Genomic DNA, 19,979 nt, shown 5'->3' with positions numbered 1-19,979 from the left:
CAACACAATTTTAATGAAAAGCACAGCAGGTTATTTTATGAATATGGACAAATTGATTCTAAGGTTTATATAGATATGCAAAGAGCCTGTGATGGCCATGACAATATTGAAGGAGAAGAAAAAATTCAGAGGCCCAACACTATATTACTATATAGGAATACACAGTTAGACATATGCATACTAAAAACTCCTATAAAGCTAAAGTATGGTATTGACAAAAAACATTGCTGAAGTAACTGGGCATTCTCATGCAAAAATATGAATGTAGACAACAAACTTACAACATATTTAAAAAACTAACTCATAGACCTAAATGTAAACACAAACCAATTTCTGTGAATTCAAAAATGCTCTAAAAAAGTCTATTAATTATTTTGAAAAATTGATAAAGATCTAAATTGAGATGTTTCAAAGGCATGATATCTTAGTGATGAGATTTATTTGAGCTTTAATGGTGAAATTTAAAATTAAATGTCAACCATTTATTTTGAAAAAGAGGAAATTGGAATTTCCAGTTCATATAAATTAACTTAAACTTTCTTATCATAAACTGCTGGAAAACTAAACAAAATGTGCAAAACAACTGTTTTCAGACATTGGACAACAGGCAGAGCAGGTCTCTGATCCCAGGGAGAAGGGAAGAAAAGGAGGTAAATGCTAAGATTACCCTGGCTGTCTGCCTAGGGGAACTTTCTAAACCACAGTGCAAGAAAAAAGGACCCACGCAGAGTATGACAGGATGGCTGAGTTGAGGAGACTGATCAGAGTTTGAGAAGTCTGAAGCAGCTGGAATTGCAGAGCAAAATCATGGAGATGGGGGAGTCACACAGAAAAAGAGCTCCATAAATATGCATGGGATTCCCTTTAGTCGGTTGCTGAATTCTACACTGTATGTGTGGAGTAAAACTCTACAAGGCCTGACAAAGATAAACTGAACAATTCCCTCAACTCACAGAGGACTGGGAGACATTTGGGTTCAGATCACTCAAAGCAGAAACTTCACTAAACTACCAGGGCATTCTGCGAAGATCCCACAGTGGTCACAATTTAGAAATATAGCTAACTATTAATAATGTTATATTAAAGGTTACTCTAGACCCACCCTAAGTAAGATTTTTTTAAGTGTAAAAAGTCAAGCTAATTTGTAAAAAACTTAACTGACTGTTCAAATGAAGTTCCACACTCTCTAAAGAAGGAAAACAAAATGCAAGTATACAACAACTTGATATTCAAAGTATACAACATTCAATTTAAAAAGACTGGTGTTCTATACCACTGTAGGATGGCTATGGTTAATAATAATATATAATTTCAAAAAGCTAAAAGGATGCTATTGAACATTCTCAAGACAAGTGATAAATGTTTGAGATGATAGATATGCTAATTACACTGATTTTATCACTATACATTACTTGTATTCTAGATATCACTATGCACCCCCATGAATATGTAGTTATTAATTGTCAATTGTCAATTAATAACTGTGCATATTCATTAATTGTCATTAATTGCCAATTGCCAATTAATAACTGTACTTATTTGTTGTGAGTAGTATTATTTCTTGTGAGTAGTATTGTTTGTTGTCAATTAGTAATTGTACATATTCATGATCAATTAAAAAATAAAAATTTTTTAAAACCTCAAAAAAAGACTAGATATGCAAAGAAACAGAAAAATGTTCCATAGCCAGCGGGAAAATTATGTCATTAGAACCAGAACCATAAAGGACAATTCAGATGGAATTAACGAAGACATTAAATAGCTATTATAAATATGTTCAAGGATTTATAGGAAAGCATTAACATAATGAGGAGATAAATAAAAAATATATAAAGAGAATGAAGCAGAATTTGTAAAGCTAAAAAAAGCCTCAAAAATGTCACAGAATGAGATTTGCAGCAGATTATATACTACAGAAGAAAAGATCAGGAAATTTAAATGCATAGCAATAAGAATAGAGAGAAATAGCGTAGAGAGAGAAAAGAAAGATAAACAAAACAAACAGTATCAGTGACATGTGGGGTAATATTATGCATTCTAATATGTTTATAATTTTAGTCCCAGAAGGAGAGAGTCAGCAAAATATATGGAGAAATACTGACAGAAATCTTCTCAAATTTGATGAGAAATATAGACCCAGAGATCCAAGAACCTCAAAGAACCCTGAGCAGGAAAAACATCAAAAGACTCCCAACAAAGCACATCACAATCAAATCGTTGAAATCCAGTGATGAAAAGAAAATCTTAAGGAGAGCCAAAGAAAAAAAGTACACTACATAGAAAGCAATAAGCATAAGAATGATCAGAGACTTCTCAAAAATAATGCAAGCCAAATATAATGGAATGGAATCCTGAAAGTGCTAAAAGGAAAATAAAACTTCCAATCTAGAATTCAATACCCAGTGAAAATATCTTTCAAAAAGGAAGATTAAGACTTTTTCAGGGAAACAAAAGCCGAGATAGTGTGTCACCAACAGACAGGCATTATAAGGAATGCTAAAGGAAGTTCTTCAGGCTAAAAGAAAAGTGATATCAGGTGGAAATTCAGATCTATACAAAGGACTTGTGATCCCTAGAAATGGTAAATATTTGGGTAAAGACTAATCTATAGTGGCATTGATTGCTGGGCATAGCAGGAAGACAGACTGCAAATGGGTGCGAGAAAACATTTGGGACAATAGATAGGTTCATTATCTTGATTGTAGTGATGGTTGCACACAGATATGTATGTCAAAACCCATAAAATTTTACACTCTCTGTATATGCAATTTGCATTAGTTATAGCATACAAAGCTGTAACAAAATAAAAATAAGAAGAGACAATTTGCCATGAAACATCTGACTTTGAGGAAACATGTTATCATGATCAATAGGAAAAGCTCTAACCATTCCTAAAATATACCACCACAACAGTCTCATGTTGTAACAACCTGGGAATGGCCAAATAGGGGTATTTAAGCACAACATCTGATTTCCTAGATCTGGAGAAATTATTATGAAGTGGAAATTTTTACTACATATTGCTAAATTCAATAGTCAATTTTCCATCCTCACCATACGTGAGCTCTCAGCAGAACTTGACAAGTCAATCATTCCATTTTCCTGGAAAGGTTATCTTCACTTGGCTTCCATATTTACCTTTACTTCACTGATGACTTCTCCTTAGCCTCCTTTGCTTTGGTCAGTCTAATATCTAAAGGGTGGAATGCCCTGGTTCTTGGGCCACTTCTCTTTATATAACCCCTCTTTTTGGTTGCCTCATCCAGTATTATTGCTTTAAATATTAACAAAATATTGATAACTTCCAATTTATATGTCCAGCTTGGACCTCACCAAGAGAACATATGCAAATAAATTACTCCACATCTCCATTATTCTGCTTAACAGAGATTTCAAACAGCATTCCCTAAAATAAAAACCCTGATGTCTCTCCCCTTTCCCAAGTGCTCCACTCAATTTTCCTTACTTTAGTAAATTTCCACTCCTTATTCCAGTTGCTTACAACAAATACCTTGCTTTATCCCTTATCTGATCTGTCAGGAAATCCCACTGGCTCTACTATCAAATACATCCCGTATCTAACAACTCACCACCTTTATAACACCATCAGCTGTCACTCAGATTGCTACAATAGCCTCCTAACTAGCTTTCTTGTTTTTGCCAATGTCCCCTCAATCTATCATTAATACACTGAGCATAAAAATGTGCATGATTTACCTTATATCTCTGGCCTGGTCTTCTATTCCTCCTATTCTTCCATTTCCCCAAAACTGCATTTCAGTCGCATTGGCCCACTAGCTGTTTTTAAGATATAGCAAAAACACTCATTTCAGGGACTTTGCCCTTTCTCCAGGTACCTGTATTTTTTGGTTGTTTTTGTTTCTATTTTGTTTTTGCTTATCTCCTTTTATCAAATCTCAGTCAAATCTTTTCTGATGTTCCTATTTAAAACTGGACCAGGTAATAGGGGATTAAGATGTCCAATAGGAGTCAGGACTAGCTTGCAGCTCCCACTTGGGACAGACAGAGCAGTGTGTGGAGACTCATATCATGAACTTTTGCTCCCGGAACTACCAAAGAAACATACCAGGAAAGCTGAAAGACTCACAGACCCTTTGAAAGAACTGGATCACGGCTGCAGGCTCCCTGAAAAACTGTGAGTCCGCTTGCTTTCTCAGCGAGGAGGCTTGTGGTATAGGGCAAGTTCTCAGCCCTAGTCATTTAGTCACTGGCTGCCTGGAAATACACTCAGTGCTGTTGGGGGAGCACAGTGAGAGTGACACTGGCCTTTAAGACTGCAGGCTGCGTGGGAGCAGGGTGAGGCCTGTTACTGCTGGCTTTCCTCCACTTCCCCGGAGACCTGTATGACTCAGCAGAGGCAGCCATAATCCTCCTGGAAACGTAATTCCATTGGCCTGGGAACTATACCCCCATATCCCACAGCAGCCACAGCAAGCCCCACCCAAGGAGAGGCTGAGCACAGACAGGCTTATTCCTGCCCCACCTGGTGCTCTTTCTCTACCTCCCCCACCCCTTGGTTGCTGAAAACAAAAGGACATAATCTCTTGGGAGCTCTAAGGCCCTGCCCCACTGCCTGTGAAACCTGAATACTTAACCAGATAACCCCAGGGCAAGTTTGCATCTTTCCTATAGTACCACAGCTGGTGCAATCTTGAAAGCACAACCTCCTGGCTGGAGGCCAACCAACAAAAAACCAGCACTCTAAACAAAAACACAACCAAGGGCCCTCACAGAGTCCACTTCACTCCCCTGCTACCTCCACCGGAACAGGTGCTGGCATCCACAGCTGAAACACCTGAAGATGGATCACATCACAGGACTCTTTGCAGACACTCCCCAGTACTAACCTGAAGCCCGGTAGCTCTGCTGGGTGGCTAGACCCAGAAGAGCAAAAGCAACCACTGAAGTTTGGCTATCAGGAAGCCCCGACCCTAGGGAAAGGGAGAGAACATCGAATCAAGGGAACACCACGTGGAACGAAAGAATTGGAACAGCAGCACTTGAACTCCAGATCTTCCCTCTGACATATACAAATACAATGACATAGTATACCCAAATGAGAAAAAAATAGAAAAACAATTCTGGTAATATGACAAAACAAAGTTCTTTAACACCCCCAAAAGATAGCACTAGCTTACCAGCAATGGATCCAAACCAAGAAAAAATTCTCTAAATTGCCAGAAAAAGAATTCAGAAGGTCAGTTATTAAACTAATTAAGGAGGCACCAGAGAAAGGTGAAGTCCAACTTAAAGAAATCAAAAGCATAATACAGGATATGAAAGGAAAAATATTCAGTGAAATACATAGCATAAATAAAAACAATCACAACATCTGGAAATCAAGGACACAGAGAAATGCAAAATGCACTGGAAAGTCTCAACAATAGAATCAAATAAGCAGAAGAGAGAACTTCGGAGCTTGAAGACAAGGCTTTCAAATTAACCCAGTCTGTCAAAGACAATGAAAAAAAAAAAATGAACAAAGCCATCAAGAAGTTTGGGACTATGTTAACCATCCAAACCTAAGAATAGTTGGTGTTCCCAAGGAAAAAGAGAAATCTAAAAGTTTGGAAAACATATTTGAGGGAATAATCGAATAAAACTTCCCAAGCCTCGCTAGAAATCTAGACATCCAAATAAAAGGAGCTCAAAGAACACGTGGAAAATTCATGGCAAACAGATTATCACCTAGGCACATAGTCATCAGGTTATCTAAAGTTGAGACAAAGGAAAGAATCTCAAGAGCTGTGAGGCAAAAGCATCAGGTAACCTACAAAGGAAAACCTATCAGATTAACAGCAGATTTCTAAGAAGAAACCCTACAAGCTAGAAGGGATTGGGGTCCTATTTTTAGCCTCCTGAAACAAGACAATTATCAGCAAGAATTTTGTATCCAGCAAAACTAAGCTTTATAAATGAAGGAAAGATGCAATCTTTTCTAGGCAAACAAATGCTGAGAGAATTCACTACTACCAAGCCAGCACTAAAAGAACTGCTAAAAGGAGCTCTAAATCTTGAAACAAATCCTCAAAGTACCCCAAAGTAGAATCTCCTTAAAGCATAAATCTCACAGGACCTATGTAACAATAACACAATGAAAAAAGAAAAAGCTATTCAGGCAACAAATAGCACAATAAATAGGATAGTATCTTGCATCTCAATACTAAGATTGAATGTAAATGGCCTAAAGGTTCCGTTTAAAAGATAGAGAATGGCAGAATGGATAAGAATTCATCAGCCAAGTTTCTGCTGTCTTCAGACTCACCTGACACATAAGGACTCATATAAACTTAAGGTACAGTGGTGGAAAAAGATATTCAATGCAAATGGACACCAAAATAAAGCAGAAGCAGCTATTCTTATGTCAGACAAAACAAACTTTAAAGCAACAGCAGTTAAAAAAGTCAAAGAGGGACATTATATAATGATAAAATGACTAGTCCAACAGGAAAATCACAATCTTAAATATCTATGCACCTAACACTAGAGCTCCCAAATCTATAAAACAATTACTACTAGACCTAAGAAATAAGACTGACATCAACACAATAAAAGTGGGGGACTTTAATATTCCACTAGACAGGTAATCAAGATGGAAAGTCAACAAAGAAAAAATAGACTTAAACTATACCCTACAACCAGCAGACTTAACAGATATTTACAGAACATTGTACCCAACAATTACAGAATATAAATTCTATTTATCAGCACATGGAACATTCTCAAAAATAGACCCAATGATAGGCCATAAAACAAGTCTCTGTAAATGTAAGAAAATTAAAATTATATCAAGTACTCTCAGCGATCACAGTGGAATAAAATGAAAAATTAACTCCAAAAGGAACCCTCAAAACCATGCAAATACATGGACATTAAATAACCTGCTGCTGAATGATTGTTGGGTTAATAATGAAATCAAGATGGAAATTTAAAAATTCTTTGAACTAAACAATAATAGTGACACAACCTATCAAAACCTCTAGGATATGGCAAAAGCAGTGCTAAGAGGAAAGTTCATAGCATTAAGTGCCTACATAAAAAAGTCTGAAAGAGCACAAACAGACAATCTAAGATCACATCTCATGGAACTGGAGAAACAAGAACAATCTGTACCCAAACCCAGAAGAAGAAAACAAATAAGGAAGGTCAGAGCAGAACTAAACGAATTGGAAACAAACAAACAAACAAAAAAAGATAAATGAAACAAAAAGCTGGTTCTTTGAAAAGATAAATAAAATTGATAGACCATTAGCAAGATTAACCAAGAAAAGAAGACAGAAGATCCAAATAAGCTCAATTAGAAATGAAACAGGAAATATTACTACTGATACCACAGAAATGCAAAAGATTATTCAAGGCTATTACAAACACCTTTATGCACATAATCTAGAAAACCTAGATGAGACAGATAAATTCCTGGAAAGATATGACCCTCCTAGATTAAACCAGGAAGATATAGAAACTCTGAAGAGACCAATAACAAGCTGCAAGATTGAAATGATAATAAAAAAATTGCCAACAAAAAAAGTACAGGACCAGGTGGATTCACAGCTGAATTCTATCAGACATTCAAAGAAGAATTGGCACCAATCTTATTGACACTATTCTACAGGACAAAGAAAGAGGGAATCCTCCCTAAATCAATCTATGAAGCCAGTATCACCCTGATAACAAAACCAGGGAAGGACATAACAAAAAAAGAAAACTAAAAAGTAATATCCCTGATGAACATAGATGCAAAAATCCTCAACAAAATACTAGCTAATCAAATCCAACAGCATATCAAAAACATAATCCACAATGATCAAGTGGGCTTTATACCAGGGGTGCAGGGATGATTTAACATATGCAAGTCAATAAATGTAATACACCACATAAACAGAATTAAAAACAAAAATTACATGATCATCTCAATAGATGCAGAAAAACATTTGACAAAATCCAGCATCACTTTATGATTAAAGCCCTTAGCAAAATCAGCATAGAAGGATATACCTTAAGGTAACAAAAGCCATCTATGACAAACACACAGCCAACATTATACCAAATGGGGAAATGCTGAAAGCGTTCCCCCTGAGAACTGGAACAAGACAAAGATGCCCACTTTCACCTGTTCTATTCAACATAGTACTGGAAGTCCTAGCCAGAAAAATCAGACAAGAGAAAGAAATAAAGGGCATCCAAATCCATAAAGAGGAAGTCAAACTGTTGCTGTTTGTTGATAATGTGATCATATACCTAGAAAACCCTAAAGGCTTTTCCAGAAAGCTCCTAGAACTGATAAATGAATTTTGCAAAGTTTCAGGATACAAAATTAATATACACAAATTAGTAGCTGGGCTATACAACAACAGAAACCAAGCTGAGAATCAAATCAAGTACTCAGCCCCTTTTACAATAGCTGCAAAAAAGAAATCATAGATGACACAAACAAATGGAAACACATCCCATGCTCATGGATGGGTAAGATCAATATTGTGAAAATGACCATACTGCCAAAAGCAATCCACAAATTCACTGCAATTCTCATCAAAATACCATCATTATTTTCACAGAACTAGAAAAAAAATCCTAAAATTCATATGGAACCAAAAAGGAGCCTGCATAGCCAAAGCAAGACTAAGAAAAAAGAACAAATCTGGAGGCATCTGATTACCTGACTTCAAACTATATTATAAGGCCATAGTCACCAAAACAGCATGACACTGCCATAAAAATAGGCTTATAGACCAATGAAACAGAATAGGGAACACAGGAGTAAACCCAAATACTTACAGCCAACTGATATTCTATAAAGCAAACAAGAACATAAATTGGGGAAAGGACATACTATTCAACAAATGGTGCTGGGATAATTGGTAAGCCACATGTAGAAGAATGAAACTGGATCCTCATCTCTCACCTTATACAAAAATCAACTCAAGATGAATCAAGGACTTAAATATAAGACCTGAAAGGATAAAAATTGTAGAATATAACATTGGAAAAACTTTTCTAGACATTGGCTTAGGCAAAGACTTCATGACCAAGAACCCAAAAGCAAATGCAACAAAAAGAAAGATAAATAGATTGGACTTAATTAAACTAAAAAGCTTCTGCATGGCAAAGGAAATAATCGCAGAGTTAACAGACAACCCACAGAGTGGGAGAAAATCTTTAAAATCTATACATTCGACAAAGGACTAATATCCAGAATCCACAAAGAACTCAAACAAATCAGCAAGAAAAAAAAATCCCATAAAAAAGTGGGCTAAGGACATGAAGAGACAATTCTCAAAAGAAGATATACAAATGCCCAACAGGTATATGGAAAAATGATCAACATCACTAACTAACAGGGAAATTCAAATCAAAACCATGAGATATCACCTTACTCCTACAAGAATGGCCATAATAAAAATATAATAGATGTTGACATGGATGTGGTGAAAAGGGAACACTTTTACACTGTTGGTGGGAATGTAAACTAGTACAACCACTATAGAAAACAGTGTGGAGATTCCTTAAAGAACTAAAAGTAGATCTACCATTTGATCCAGCAATCCAACTACTAGGTGTCTACCCAGAGGAAAAGAAGTCATTATATGCAAAATGTACTTCCACATGCATGTTTATATCAGCACAATTTACAATTGCAAAAATGTGGAACCAGCCCAAATGCCCATCAATCAATGAGTGGATAAAGAAAATATGGTATATATACCATGGAATACTACTCAGCCATTAAAGGGAACAAAATAATGGCATTCGCAGAAACCTGGATGGAATTGGAGACCATTTTTCCAAGTGAAGTAACTCAGGAATGGAAAACCAAGACCAAACATCATATGTTCTCACTCGTAAGTGGGGGCTAAGCTATGTAGACACAAAGCCATAAGAATGATACAATAGACTTGTGGACTCAAGGGAAAGGCTGGAAGGGGGGTGAGGGATAAAAGACTACACATCGGATACAGTGTACACTACTTGGGTGATGGGTGCACCAAAATCTCAGAAATCACCACTCAATAACTCACTCATGTAATCAAATACCACCTGTTCCCCCAAAAAAACCTATTGAAATAAAAAATAAATTTAAAAAAAGAAAACTGGTGCCAGACCCTTATCCCTCACAATTCCTAAGAAACCCCTCCTCTACTCCCATTTTTGTTCTTTCCAAAGTGCTTATCATCTTCTTATGTACTTTTCGATTTACTTATCTTACTGTTTGTCTTTCCTTTCTATAATGTAAAATCTCTTATTGCAGATTTTTTTTTCTGTTGTGTTCACTGCTATATTCTTGGCCTTGAAAAGCAGATCATGGTGTACATTTAATAAATAATTTTTGTCCAGGAGTGGTGGCTCATGCCTGTAATCCCAGCACTTTGTGGGGGCCGCGGGGCTGGATCACCTGAGGTCAGGAGTTCAAGACCAGCCTTGCCAACATGGTGAAACCCCATCTCTACTAAAAATACAAAAAAGTACCTGGATGTGGTGGCAGGCGCCTGTAATCCCAGCTATTTGGGAGGCTAAGACAGGAGAATCGCTTGAACCCGGGAGGCAGAGGTTGCAGTGAGCCGAGATCACTCCATTGCACTCCAGCCTGGGCAACAAGAACGAAACTCTGTCTCAATAAAATAAAATAAAAAAAATAAAATAAAATAAAATAAAATAAAATAAATAAAATAAAAATATTTTTTTCAGTGAATGCATGATGAGTGAATAAAGCTGACACTAATAATATAGAATGATACTGTTTTATATTCTTAGTACTATAAATGTACCTGTAAGTAGTTTCATCTTTTAATTCTCATGTTCTTGAAAAATGATTTAAAAGAACATTATTTTTCAGGATTTAAGGATCTCACTTGTGTGATTGTTAGGTTTTAAACTCTGAGTAAAGATGAAGCTGAACTGCCATGTTCAACACTGGCAAGAAAGGCAGAGCTTTCTAATGGAAGCACCATTGGTCCTTGAACCACTGGGACCCAAGAGAGCTTCAATGTAATAAAACAATACTGTTGTTCCTTGTGTAGTTGGTTGCTGATGCTTTTTTTCCCTTATTTTGAACCTGATATATAAAGTAAAATGTGACTCAAAGGATATTTTTTCCATGAGTATATGGCAGACATCAGTACATATACAGAAAGCAGACAGATAATAGTCAAGGGAGGTATCTCTGCTTCACAGACTTCATTTTTATACCATAAAATTATATTTACAGACATTCTTCAATTTTATAGAATAAAAAATCTTTACAAACCAAAGCATATGTCAATATTCCACAGATTGTTTTAATGATTTACATTGTCATAACTATTAGTATATCTTCTCATGCACCCTTTGCTTTGCTTCTTTTGTAAGTCAAAGAATTAACTAATTTTTGGGGAGAGGCTGGATTCCTTTTTGACATTTAAATACAAATGTATACTTTTCTTAGTACATCTAAGAGACTTAATGATGAAAATTTTTATTTGTTAGGGGTGTTAACAGGCAAGATAAAATCAGTAATTTTTCTCCTCTCTTTTAGGACAAACTTGGTCAACACTTATAAACAGGTTGGCTTCAAAGTGCTCTCTTGTTACCTAAGGGTTTCCTTGTTCAAAGAGTAAACTCTTATTTATTTGGCTTTTTACAAAGCTAATTTCCTCCCAACTCCAATACATCTGACTTTAATTGCTGTCAATCGAGAAAAATGACGAGACAAGTCTCACTCATTTTAGGAGGTTTATTTGCCTAAGTTAAGGATGTGTGCCTGGGAGACAGGTCTATGTATTTCTCTGAAGATAATTTTGAGGGCTCCAAATTTAAAAAGGAAATGAGGGGATATTGACAAGTACACAATTTTCATGTAAGAGGGGGATAGGGAAAAATAGTCATTCATGCCTTTGTCTAGCTCAGGGAATCTGCATTTTTACGTAAGATAACATAGACAAAATGGGGGCAGGGGATACACATTTGTGTCTGGTGGGCTATCAATTTACATTGCCATGGTAAAATTTTAACAGAAACACCTTAGGGTAAAGATCTTGGAGATCACTAGGAATTTCCTTTTGGGCAAAATATTGGGGAGGCATATAGCTTTTCATCTTATAGGCATCTTATTTAGGCACTGAAAAGTGGGAGGCAGGTTTTCATGACCCAGTTCCCAGCTTAATTTTTTCCTTTGGCTTAATGAGCTTGGGGTCCCAAGATTTAATTTCCTTTCACATTGACAATATTTGTAATCAAAATGGTTTATCTTAAATTAATATACCTATTCTACCTGAATACATTTAGTAGGCTGTGTTTTCTTTTTTAAAAAAAAAAATTGTTTTCACTGGAACTTGATTTCTCTTTTTTTTTTCTAAGTATAAACCTGGTTATCTCTGAGGATAATTAAGAAAATTATACCTAAAAAGAGTAATGTGCAATACCTTTTACCTTCATGAATTCAATAATTTTTTTAAAGCCTTCAGGCTTATTCTATTTACACGTGTTTCTTTTAAAAAATAGTTTTTGAGCTAAATGAGGATTATAAAAACCATACCTCAGCAAATTCGGTAGTAGTAAGATACAATGTTATCAATTTGGTTATTAACTAGATTGCAGTGAATTAGTTTTTTAAAAGCTTACTGGTAAAGTCTACAGTAAACAAATGTTCATAGTGTTGCATTGAGCATCCAGACAACAAAGTTTTAGCCCTCTTTTCCCACCAGGCCTGTTGTTAAAACTGGGCTTAAGACCCAATATCAGGCCTCTTAATGCTGATTAGCTTCCCTGTGTTGGTCCCCACTTGCTTGTCCAAAAATGAGCCTCTTTCAGGTCCCTTAGTTCACTGGTTGAGGTGCTGAGGTCCCACCCAATTTCTGCAAAATTTCCCAGAGCCATAGCTTAGTCCTATATCCCTGCCTCTCTGCTGGGATTTTGTCGCACGTGAATGAAATTCTCAAGGATACTTACTAGGTCACTTGACTCTCAAACATTTACCGATATCAAGATTTTTTTTTTTTTTTTTTTTGGCTCAACCAATCCCACAGACTGAATTTCCAGAATTAGCTGAGAGAATATTCTACTCTTCATTTACTATATTTAACACACCCTGCCATCCTCTTCAGAACTACCTGTGCTAGTTGGGTCAGTTCTCCCAATTTTTCTCTTGCTTTAGTAGGAAGGTCTTTGGCCTCTACTTTTCTCCCTGTGCTGCTAGGATATAGCATTCCAGATGCTCCGGTGCTGTACAATAATGGACTAGGGTCCATTTGCAAGACTTACTATACTCCTTACTTCTACTCACAGACATGCCATACTTTCTTGCTGCTCCTGCTGAGACAGCCAAGTATAAAGGGGTTCCTGGAGAATTTCCAACCAGCTTGTGCACTGGGAGAACTGGGTGGAGCCCTGGGAAGTTTGAGCCCTTTGCAGGGTGGGAGGATCCTGGCCTCTCGTGTTCGGGGGCGGGCACCTGGGTTTCAATCTGTGAGGTGGGGGCCTGTTAATGGGAATCTCTCTCATTTTGCTGAATTTTTTTTCCTTTTCACCCAATAAATTCCATTTTTCCCACCTTTCTATGTGTCCGTGAGCCTAATCTTTCCTGGTTGTGTGACGAGAACCCTGTTTTTAGCCAAACGAAGGAGAAAGTCCTACCACACTGCTATGACCATTTTTCGTAGATCTGTCTGCTGGCTTCTCTTTGTTTATCAAGTATGTTAGTGTTTCTCGGGATTCTGTCTTTGACCTCTTTGTTTTCATTCTCTGTGGGTATTGTATATAATCTGGTGATTTTAATGACACCATTGACTGCCAAATCTTCATCTTTAGCCTTGATCTCTCTCGTGTTCTCCACATCCAATTGGGTATAGACATCTCTGCCTGGATCTTCATGCCACCAGTGCAGTTCCCTGAATTCAATACTATCTCATTTCACCTTTCTGAGCCTTCTAAATGCTGATGAATCTGCTGCAAATGCTTCCCTCCGTTGTTAAAATACACAATTCAAAGGCCATCTATTTTGAGAAAACATCCCTGAAGCTGATCATTACACCCTCTATGTTCAGCTGAAAAGAATGCAGAAGTTGAGGATGAGTAGTTTTAAACAGTCATGGGACAGGGAGGAATTCTTGCATGACAAGTAAACATTGAGTGTGTATGACTTTGTGGAACCATAATATATGCCAAGAAAAAGATAATTTTGCTCATATTTTACCATTGCTTTTGGTAATAATTATTAGAGCTTAGTAATAAAGTAAGTAACTAATAAGAATGTATTGAATTGAATAATAGGGAATTCAATAGGGATTAGAAACCAAATCTCATACCAATACTTTAAAATGCAGTTACCATTTTTATGCCATAACTTACTGAGTTTATAAAGATTTCTTCTACTCTTTATGGTAACTTATAAAAGTATATAAATTAGGGTTCTCCAGAGAAACAGAATCAATAGGAGATGATAGATAGATAGATGGATAGATAGATATAGATACATAGATATGTAGATATCTAAGAGGATATTTATCATGGGAATTGGCTCACATGGTTATGGAAGAAAAGAAGTCTCATGATATTCCATCTTCAAGCTGCTTGAGCAAGTCACTTAATACTTTTTTTTTTACCTCAGTTTCTCATCTATAAAAGTGAATGGTCTAGTGTTTTAGGTCACTTCTAATTCCGAAATTCTTTTATTTTAAGACTACATCAGCATGGAACCAAGGCATGAAGCTGTAGACTCAGGAAAATCATTGGTATAATTAATCTGAGTCTGAAGGCTTGAGAACTAGGGGAGGGGTGGGATGGTGGAGTTTGCTGGTTAAAATTCCAGGGGCAAAAGTTCAAGAAATTAGGAGCTCTGATCGAAGGTCAGGAGAAGATGGATGCCCCAGCTCAAGAAGAGAGAGGGAGAGAATTAGCTTTTCCTCCACCTTTTTGTTCTATCTCGGCCCTCAATTGCTTGGACAATGCCGGCCCACACTGGGTGAGGGTAGATCTTCTTTACTCAGTCTACCGATTCGAACGCTAGTCTCTGCCAGAAAGACCCTTACAGAAACACCCAGAAACAATATTTTACAGTTATCTGGGTTTCCTTTAGTCCAGTCAATTGACACACAAAATTAACCATCATAATATGCATTCACTAGAAGGAAGAACAAAAATTATTTTAAATATACATTACTAAAAAACAGCTTGTAAAATATCTATACATAAAAAGAATTTCAGGTGATATTTTTAAAGTGTGAAAAGGTTCAATTATATTCCTCGTAATATTTAGGGCAAAACTTGTTGTAATATTTAGCAACAAAATTTGTTTGGCCAGCTGGCCCTGATTAACTAAAATTATATTTCATATGAGGCTCTCATAGCAATGAACATTATTTTCTCAGCTGGTTAGACACAACATATGATTCTCCTAACAATGGAAACCTGGAATACAATAATAATCAGAGCCAAAAGTAACAACTCAATGACATGATATAAAGACATAGGTATAAATTTGATATTTCCTTTGGAAATGGCAGCAACTGCTGTCATAGTATTAATCATAATGCAGTTGTTTGTGATAATCATAGTAATGTCTAAGGTCAATGAATATACCTATTGGTAACAAATGTGCATAAAATAACTAATAAACTTATCTAGCAGCCAGGTGTGGTAGAATGAGTCAGACCTGGCAATTAGGAAATCCAGAAGCCAATATAAACTTTGATTCTAAATATGTGCTTGAGCAAGTCACTTAATATTTTTTTTATCTCAGTTTCTCATCTGTAAAAGTGAATGGTCTAGTATTTTAGGTCATTTCTAATTCTGAAATTCTTTTATTTTAAGACTACATCAGCATGGAACCAAGGCATGAATCAGGAAAGTGGAAAGGCCAATTTAAGATGTTTTTATAAATTTATCTGTCTATCTTCTCTTGGCTTTTCAACAATCTCCTGAGAGATTAGGAATGGGAAGACATCATGAGACTGAAAGGAAGTGGAAACTCAGGGGAGGGGTTTGCAGTGCTTTGTTTTGTCTTAAGTATTTGAAGCTTCAAGCCTGAATCATTTTTGATTTGGTCCATTTTGTAGAAAGTTATCACCACCACAGTAAGAAAAAATGAGTAAGCTCCAGTCACTCTAGCAAAGACAGATTGTTTATGTCCACAGGCCTGAGGCTATCACAGCTACCTCTCTGTAAAACCACGTGGGCTGGTCGTCAGGCTACTGTCTCTCAGCTACATGTCTACTCTTCCAGTCTATGTTTTGTGATGCTGGGGTTTGGGACTCTGAAAACTACATACTTCCTTCGCCAGTGGGTTTTCTATAAGGGCCCCCCCAAAAGGAGCACTAGACAAAGAATGAAAGCGTGGCAGGGGTAAAGGGATTTCTTTCTTTCTCTTTTTTTTTTTTTCTATTTCTTGCTCTTCCTATCAGCATGCCCATAGTAACGCTCTTTATTGCAGCAGCAGCAGTTTGGTTCGCCTCTAGGTTCTTTCAGCAGTCTCAGAACTAGTCCCATGTTGCTACCCCCACATTACCCCCAACAATTCTGTCCACCTCCTCCTCAAAGGTGTGAGCTCCAGTTCCTCAAAGCTGCTAGCTCTGACAGTTCTATCCATTTTCTGTGTTCCCTCAGCCCAAGAGGTGGTGCTTCCTGTGGTCTTTTTTGTGTTTCTTGGTATTTCATTTTGCTCTTTTATTCCCTCAACACCTGTGCAACCACCTCCCAGTATTAAATTCCCACTCTTGAAGTACCCACTGTAGTGTCATTTTTTAAGACTTGGCTCTTGCTGATACACCACATATGATTTGAAAATTATCTTCACTTGTCAGTGATTTTTTCACCACAACCAGCACTTTCAATAGAGAAGGATGAATGGACATTTCTACTACCGACTCCAGAAGACACATAAAGGGTGATGATCAGACTCCCTTTCATTAGTTCCCATAACATTTATCAGTATTTATGTTTCCAAACTATTAACATTCATGACTAACAGATTCAGTCTTCTTCAGATTTCATCTCTCAAAACCTACTACAGTCACCATAATTCAGTAAGGGATAAAGGAAGGACCAATTTTACTGGGAGAAATGATCAAAACATGGAAATGTAGACTCTTGTCTAAGGTTTCAGAGCAACTCAGCAGAAAAGTGAGAAATTTATTCAAGTATTTGGAATTCTAGATCAGACTATATCAAATTGCTTCAAAAAGTTGATTCTTAAGGAATTCTATAACAAAACTCAGGGAAGCATTTTTCAAGTTTTTCTGACAATGAGGGAACAAATTTTTAATATATTTTGATCATATTGTTATTAATAGTTACTTGTTACATAATGTTATTATATAACATATTAATTGTTACATAATAGTACTATATATTTTTGTTTCTGTTTCTGTTTTTGTTTTTCTGAGACAGGGTCTCACTTTGTCACCCAGGCTGGAGTGAAGTGGTGTGATCCTGGGTCCCTACAGCCTCGACCTCCTGGGCTCAAGTGATCCCTCCCACTTCAGACCCTGAAGTAGCTGGGACTATGGGCATGTGCCTCCATGCCTGGCTAATTTTTTGTATTTTTTGTAGAGACAGGATTTCACCATGTTGTCCAGGCTGGTCTGGAACTTCCAAGCTCAAGCAACCCACCCACCTTAGCCTCCCAAAGTGCTGGGGTTACAGGTGACAGCCACTGTGCCTGGCTAGTGCTGTATAGTTAACAATGCACTTTCACAAACCTAATCCCATTGACTTCATCTCATAATAACTTTAGGATGTTGACAATGTCAAGTTTTATTTGCATTTTATAGATGAGAAAACTGAGATTACAAGAGGTTATAATGATTTACTCAACATCCAAGTAAATAACCTAATAAGTAAATATTCCAAACCCATGTAAGAAGCAGGTAGATAGCCCTATCTACCCCAAGTACAATAATCTCTCCACGATATTAAACTGCCTAGCTAATATTATGTATATTTATGCTGGTAGCATTATGTGATAACTCTTTATTCTCTTTAGAAGAATAAACAACCATTACAATTAACACATGCCATAAGAAAAGAATTCTATTCTTCATTTAATTATTTTATAATCAATAATATTTTAACTTACCAAAAGCAGAAGAGTATCAACTGAGTTCAAATTACCATAATGAACAATAAGAGAAAAAGTTACTCTGTTACTATAAGAAACCATTATTAAGCAAAAAAATTAAAGCAAACCAGTCTTTCCAATTCCTTTTAGAAAATAACTTTACTTTGCCTGGACAGTGTGTTATTAGCATCTGAAAGAAAATCAGAATTGTGCTCTAAGCAGTAGATTCAAAGTTAATGTGCAAAGGATACTGCCTCTTTGTAATTCATTCAATAATACAATACTTTATTGAATAAAGACAGCCATTTAGACTTTACATATTGAGCAATTGTTCATCTGCAAAATGTCAGAATGCCAAAAAACCAAACGAGCATGTTACAAAGGACTTCTACTTTCTCGGATAAGACCTTGAAGCAATATACAGTATTTCTCAGATTAATAGATATATATTAATATTAATAGCAATGGCAAAGTCATACTGCTCCCAATTCAATAGCGAAAGCTAAATCTGGAAGGACCTCAGTTTATATTTTCAGGAGTTCAATATGAATGTTTAAGAGATGCAGCTCAAGTAGCAGCCATGATATTTTATTTTGAGCCATTGTCTATGATAAGAAACAGTAATCCAATAAAAAATCTTCTTATCTTTTTACTTTAAACAATGTTGATAGTTTTAAGTAAATGAAAGCAATAGTCAACAACTATGGTAGCAACAGGCGCATTCAATAGTGTGAATTACATTGTGTATTTTATCTGCCACATTTGATCCTGTGATTCAAAGATAGTGTGGACTATGCATGAGATTCCAAGCCCTGACTAAATTCAGCGCCGAAAGTGGCCCAGGGTTCTCAATTTTGAGCCTTTGCTAGTGCATGTTCAAGCCTTTGTAACTGTATTTACTCCCACTCCTTGCCACTAGCCTGGTTGGAGTATACTGGGTGGAGTATACTGGTACTTAATCCAGGATAGAAGGTTTCCCTACTGCTATAGTTTGAATGTGTCCCTCAAAGTTCATGTGTTGGAAACTTAATACCCAATGCAACAGTGTTGAGACATGGGACCTTTAAGAGATGATTAGGTCATGGGGGCTCTGCAGTCATGAACAGGTTAATGTTATTATTGCAGGAATGGGTTAGTTATTGTGGGAGTAGGTTCCTGGTAAAAGGATGAGTTCAGCCCTCTTCCCTTCTCTCTTCTTTTGCTCTCTTGCCCTTCAACCTTCCATCATGGAATTATACAGTAAAAAGGACCTCACCACATGTGGGACCCTTGATCTTAGAATTCCCAGCCTCCAGAACTGTATGAAATTAATTTCTGTTCTTTGTAGGTTACACAGACTCAGGTATTCTGATATAGCAACACAAAATGGACTAAAACAGAAAATGGGTACCAGAAGTGGAGGTGCTGCTATATAAGCACTTCAAAATGTGGAAGAGACTTTAAAACTGAGAAATGGGTAGAGGCTGGAGGAATTTGGAGAAGAAGGCTAGATAAAGCCTAGATAGTTGTGAATGGAATCTGAAGGGTAGAAGAGCTATAGAGAGAGCCTAAATCTTCCTAGTGATTAAGTGGTTGTGATCATAATGCTCGTAGAAATATGAGCAGTAAAGGCCATTCTGATGAGATCTCAGATGGAAATTAGAAACAAGGTATTGGAAACTAGGATAAAGGATGTCTTTGCTGAATAGTTGCAAAGAACTTGGCAAAATTATGTCCGTGTCCTAGAACTTTGTGGAAGGCAGAAATTAAGAGTAATGAACTAGGATATCTGGCAGAAGAAGTATCTAAGAAGCAAAATATTCAAGGTGCTACATGGCTTTGTAAACCAAAAATAAAATTTGAAGGCCCCCTGCAACCATCTGAATGGACTTCCTCTCTGGCCAGGACACTGTAAAATTTAACCTGAAAGACTGGTTCAGGCCATGATGGGAAG

General features: G+C 36.7%; 1 long non-coding RNA gene across 2 annotated transcripts in view, besides 1 other annotated feature; it reads right to left on the bottom strand.

Annotated features, from left to right (window-relative positions):
• Positions 1 to 19,979, bottom strand: part of LOC101928219 (uncharacterized) — a 182,425-nt gene that overhangs the window by 60,568 nt on the left and 101,878 nt on the right. The gene's annotated exons all lie outside the window — the stretch shown is intronic.
• Positions 3,710 to 4,909: an enhancer, noted in NCBI's record as "MED14-independent group 3 enhancer chr1:96207937-96209136 (GRCh37/hg19 assembly coordinates)". NCBI's record gives its function as "activates an origin of replication core promoter dependent on BRD2, BRD4, P300/CBP and CDK7 cofactors, and independent of MED14, by STARR-seq in HCT116 cells {active_cell/tissue: HCT116}" and the evidence as "EXISTENCE:reporter gene assay evidence [ECO:0000049][PMID:35650434]".

Source organism: Homo sapiens, chromosome 1 (genome assembly GCF_000001405.40).
Source record: "Homo sapiens chromosome 1, GRCh38.p14 Primary Assembly".
NCBI lineage: Eukaryota > Metazoa > Chordata > Mammalia > Primates > Hominidae > Homo > Homo sapiens.
Note: the sequence above shows the minus strand (reverse complement) of the source record. Positions and strands in the feature narration are given on the sequence as shown.